The following is a 6,000-nucleotide window of genomic DNA, read 5'->3' as shown; positions in this document are numbered from 1 at the left end:
GACTCCATTTCCCAGGCTCCTTTGCGGCTGACTTCGGGTTGGTTTCAGCCAATAAGAGGCATCCAAGGAGACAGGAGGGCGGGAAGGGAGAGCGCCCTGTGTATTTCTTCTCCGCTTTCCCACCCCAGTTTTGGCGGCGCACAGCCTCTCCTTGATCATACCTCGTGTCTGGCTGACCCTCACGCACAATGCCAGCCCTGCTCGACTCTGCTTTTATCATCCCTCCCCTTCCCCGTCTCACCTAGAATTACCTGGAATGCTGCTGGTCCCTGGGTGCCACAACCATCTTCGCAGGTTCCCTTATTCACAGTCCCATGTGAATGTAAACAGTCCCATCAGTAAGGTCTCTTCAGCTGAACGGAGTAGGGTTCTGTTTCCTACAGGACCCCGACTAATAAATACACCTGGACTCCACCTACCTGAGGATTTCACGTCAGCTCCAAAAACTACCTGTCTGCCCACTAGACAGAGGTTCACTGTGCAAATATCCCTCGAAAAGATGACTATTGAATATAAAGTCACTCTAAGCTGTAGGGTATCTGCTTCTTTTCTTGGAGCCAGGCTTTGTAAGGGGAGGTGGGTAGTAACAGGTGTCTCAAAGAAGTGGGAAAGGGGATGCCTTGGAGGTAGGGGAGTCAGGAGCAGATCGTGTTTAAACGGCCCAGGGTTCCAGCCCTGGCTTGGCTACTGGTAATTACTTTGGTAATAACTTAATGTTTTTGTGCCTTAGTGTCCACCTCTGTAAAGTGGGGATGACATTTTAAGCGTTTACCCTATGCATGTTACAAGGATATCATCAGGCTAATATACCATCAAATGGGATAAAGTAAGAAGAAGCAGCAGTTTGGAAAGTATGACACCAAGATGGGCACCCCAGCACCTCCTCCTCTGAGAGGAGCCACTGCCCCAGTTTGGCAGCAGTCTATAGTAGATTACTACCTGAGAAACTGAGTCAGCTTGCAGGCTTTAAATGATAATAATGATAATTTAATTGTCATTGTTATTTCTTAATATATTTATTACCAATTAGGTAATATTATTATTGCTTAATAAAAAACACTTATAACAAGTATTGTTTCAGGTACTATATTTCTCGAGTGCTAGCTGTGTGCTAAGCACCTTCTGCACATTATCTCATTTCATCAGCATAATGATTCTGCGAGATACAGGTACCTGCATTAGCCTCGTTTTACTCATACACAGACTGAGGTTCAGAGAAGTTAAGCAACTTGTCCAAGGTCACGTAGCCATTCGGGGTGGGGCCGAAATTCAAATCCAGGCTTATCCCACATTGCTCTGTCTTTTCCACAAATCCACTCTGTTAGAGCAGGGGTTCTCAGCGAGTTGGCAAGAAAGATTTGGCCCCCTCTCCCCAGGCGACATTTGGCAATGTCTGAGGCATTTTTGTTTGTCCTAACTGAGGGGGTGAGATTGGCATTTCGTGGGTGGAGCCAGAGATGCTGTGGGTATTAGTTTACTAGGGTTGCTGTAACAAATTACCATAAGAACAACAGAAATGTATCATCTCACAGTTCCGGAGGCCAGAAGTCTGGAGGCAAGGTGTCTGCACAGCCACTCTCCCTCTGAAGGCTCTAGGAGGAATCTTTTCTTGCCTCTTCCCAGCTTCTGGTGGCTCCTGGCAATCTTGTCATTCCTTAGATTGTAGCTACATCACTCCAATCTCTGCCTCCATCTTTGCATGGACTTCTTCCCTGTGGCTTTGTGTGTCCCCTCCTCTTCTTATAAGGACACCAGTTGTAAGATTTATTTTTCTTTAATTGACAAATAATAATTGTACATCATTAGATTTACAGCCAACCCTAAACCCAGAATTCTTTCATCTTGAGATCCTTAGCTAATTACATCTGCTAAGACCCTTATTCCAGAGTCACAGTTATTATTTACTGAGTGCTAGCTGTATGCTCAACACTGTGCTAAGCAGTCTATGCATTATATCATTTCATTAGCCTGAGGATTCTGTGAAATTCAGGTACCTTCATTAACCCCCGTTTTACTCACAGGGAGGCTGAGGTTCCAAGAAATTAAGCAACTTGCTGAAGGTCACATAGCTATTCCCAGGGTGGGGCTGAAATCAGACCAGATGGGCATGAATTTTGGAAGAAAACTATTCAACCCGCTACACTGAACACCCTTCAACACACAAAACAGCTCCCACAGCAAAGAATTATCTGGCCCCAAATATCAGTAGTGCTGAGGTTGAGAAACCCTGCTTCAGAGAGGCATTTCTTCTCTGGCAAGCAATGAGAATTGCCTCTGCTTATCTTGACAGCTACAAACAGAAAGGGGCTCAGAGTGTGTGAGACCGCCCTCTCTGAGTGAGTCCAGAAGCCACCCTCTCCTGCCCACTCAGTCCCTCCACCTTTTTGGGCCCATTTCCTCTGATTTAGCCTCCAGTATCTTTATGGGGATGTTGTTCCTGCCTGCATTTTTGTGGGATTTTATGTTTTGAACAATAGGGTCTGATCCATTCTAAGTATTAAGCTTCAACCATAAGTAAGAAGTACCTGGCCTCTTCTTTCCCAAATGGGAAGCTGCTCAAAAATCAGATAAAGGGACCGGGTGCAGTGGCTCATGCCTGTAATTCCAGCACTTTGGGAAGCCAAGGTGGGAGAATCACTTGAGGTCAGAAGTTGGAGACCAGCCTGGGCAATAAAGTGAGACCTTGTCTCTACAAAAAAAAAAAAAAATTTTTTTAATCCACTGGCCACGATGGCACGCACCTCTAGTCCCGGCTACTTGAGAGACTGAGGCAGGAGGATCACTCAAGCCCAGGAATTTGAAGCTGCAGTGAGCTATGATCATGCTACTGCACTCTAGCCTGGGCAACAGAGCAAGACCATGTCTCTAAAAACAAACAAAAACAACACAATATCAGATAAAGGAACTCAGGCTCATGGGCAAGTTGTGAAAATTATCATCTGATGGCTGCCAGAGACCCTGTCTCTACCAAAAATAAAAATAAAAAAAAGACTCTTTCAGTCTTCCAACAAATATTTATTGAGCAACTGCTATGTGCTTGGTCCTGGACATGCAGCAGTGGGCAGCAAAGCTGATGGTGTCCCTGCTCACATGGAGCTTCCACTCTGATATAGACCATTACAATTTAGGGTGATAAATGCTGTAATGGAAGAAGTTCAAGGTGTACCAGATTTCAAGGCACCAAGGAAGGTTTCCTGGAGTAAGTAAGGTCTTAGCTGAGATGTGAAGACCGAGTCGAATTCAAATCCAGGTGAGCCAAACTCCACCACAACCTTAGTCCCCAAGCAAAGGCCAAGGGAAGAGTGGTATTTAGAAAGGGATGAGCTTGTGCAAAAGCCCAGAGAGAAAAGAGAGCGCATTTGAAGAATTGAAGGAAAGTCAGTCTATGCTTCACTATTTTATTTTATTATTTTATTTTATTTTATTTTTGAGACAGTGTCTCACTGTGTTGCCCAGGCTGGAGTGTAGTGGCGCAATCACAGCTCACTATATCCTCGAACTCCTGGGTTCAAGTGATCTGCCCATCTCAGCCTCCCAAGTAGCTGAGATTACAGATGCACACCACCATGCCTGGCTAATTTTTGTTTTGTTTTTTGTTTTGTTTTGTTTCGTAGAGACAGGGTCGTGCTATGTTGCCCAGGCTTATCTCAAAATCCTAGCCTCAGGTGATCCTCCAGTCTTGGCCTCCCAAAGTGCTGGGATTACAGGCGTGAGCCACCACGTCCAGCTGATTCACCCTTTTAGACAAAAAAAAAAAAAAAAAAAAGCTGAGATGGTGATTACTAATATCCACCTTTTGGTTTTTCTCTCCGTTATCTGGGGGCTGCCTTTGACCTTCCTTTCTACTGTGAGCTGTTTGGATATTTTCTTTTCTTTTCTTTTCTTTGAGACAGAGTCTTGCTCTGTTGCTCATGCTGGAGTGCAGTGGTGCGTGCGATCTTGGCTCACTGCAACCTCCACCTCCCAAGTTCAAGCAATTCTTGTGCCTCAGCCTCCCGAGTAGCTGGAATTGCAGGCGTGCACCACCACACCCAGCTAAATTTTGCATTTTTGTAGAGACAGGGTTTCACTATGTTGGCCAGGCTGGTCTTGAACTCCTGACCTCAAGTTATCCACCTGCCTCGGCCTCCCAAAGTGCTGGGATTACAGGCATAAGCCACCGAGCCCAGCTGGATGCTTTCTCTTGGTGCTCATGTTGAACTTGGTTCTCTTTTTCCTGAAGTTACAGGGACTCATGTCTAGGCCTGACCTAGGCCAGGACAAAGCCTTTGGACCTCATTTAGAGAGGGACATCAGGCATCTTCGGTGTCTAGAAATTACTTAGTCCCAGCGAGGTTGAGGCAGAGGTGCAAAGTCCCCAGAAAGCGTCAGAGCTGGGGCCTGTTCACTGACAAGGTAGTTCCTATTTTAAAAATCAGAATCAGAGACCAGGAGCCATAGTCATTAGCTGTGTCTCCCGTTTCCTCTGGATCTTAGAGGAACAAAGGGATGAGGAACCTGGCCTGGGGAGTTTGGAGGTGACCTGCATTCAAATCCTGCCCCACACACTTACTAGTTGTGTGATGTGAAGCAAGTCACCTCACCTCTCCAACCTCATTCCTCATAACCATGATGCTGTCCCCTCGGGGTTATGCCTGTGTGTTACAGATGGGTCATTGGACCATTCTCCTAAGGGTTCAGCACAGGGCTTGGCACCCAAAAAGAGCCCAGTCCTTTGGGTTCATTTCTTTCTCATCTCTGAACCCAGCCTCCTCCTTCATCAGGTTTCCAGGGAGGCTCACTAGAGAAAGCAGGAAGTAGGAAAAGAGAACAGTCCTTCCATTAGGGTATTCGTTTTTTATTAAAGAATTACAGGCCGGGCATGGTCGCTCATGCCTGTAATCCCAACACTTTGGGAGGCCTAAGGGGGCAGATCAGTTGAGGTCAGGAGTTCAAGACCAGCCTGGCCAACATGGTAAAACCCTGTCTCTACTAAAAATACAAAAATTAGCTGGGCATGGTGGTACGCACCTGTAGTCCAAGCTACTCAGGAGGCTGAGGCAGGAGAATCGCTTCAACCTAGGAGGCAGAGGTTGCAGTGAGCCGAGATCACACCACGGCACTCTAGCCTGGGTGATAGAGTGAGACTCAATCTCAAAAAAAAAAAAAAGAAAAGAAAAAGAAAAAGAAAAAAAGAATTACATACAAGAAGCTGCATGCAAATTATAAGTACAACTTGACATAATTTCAAAAACTGAGCGCACCGTGTAACCTGCACGTGGTTGAAGAAACAGAACATTGCCGGTGCCTCAGAAGCCCCTCAAATACTCCTTCACTGTCACCACCACCCCCAAGGGTGAACGCTACCCTGACTTCTGAAGCAGACATTAGTGTTGCCTGCCTTTCTATTTATGATACCTAGAATCATGCAGTGCATTCTCCTTTGTGACTGGCTTCGTTCATTCAACATCATGTTAATGAGAGTTATCCACTTTGATGAAGGTTAATTATAGATCGTTCACGCTTGTTGCTGTACAGTATTCCATTTTGTTTATCTGTTCCACTGTTGATGAGTATCTGGGGAGTTCCCAGTTTGGGGCTATTGCAGTAAGCACTGCTATGATCACTCCAGTGTGTGTGTGTGTATGTCTTTCAGTGAGCACACAGACACGTCTCTGCTAGGTATACACTTAGGAGTAGAATTGCTAGGTCATAAAATGTTCCACTTTAGTAGCTGCTGCCAAATAGTTGTCCAGGGTGATTATACCAGGCACTCACCTAAAAAAAAAAAAAAAATCAGTGACGGGAGGTACTGTGCCCTTTTTCCCCAACAGTCAATCATTTGTTCAACCCATTTATGGAACTCAAATCTGGGCCAGGCCCAGGCCAGGGTGGGTAATTGGAATGCTCAGGTGGAAAGGCCAGGGGCTGGTGCTGGCCTCATGTGCCCTGAGATCTATTCCTCACCCTTCTCCTCCCCTGTGCCCGTGAGTGTTGTGGTAGTGGGTGGGTGGGTGGATC

This window comes from Homo sapiens, chromosome 16 (assembly GCF_000001405.40).
Source record: "Homo sapiens chromosome 16, GRCh38.p14 Primary Assembly".
NCBI classification, from domain to species: domain Eukaryota; kingdom Metazoa; phylum Chordata; class Mammalia; order Primates; family Hominidae; genus Homo; species Homo sapiens.
The sequence above is the reverse complement of the archived record's forward strand: the minus strand, read 5'-3'. Positions refer to the sequence as shown.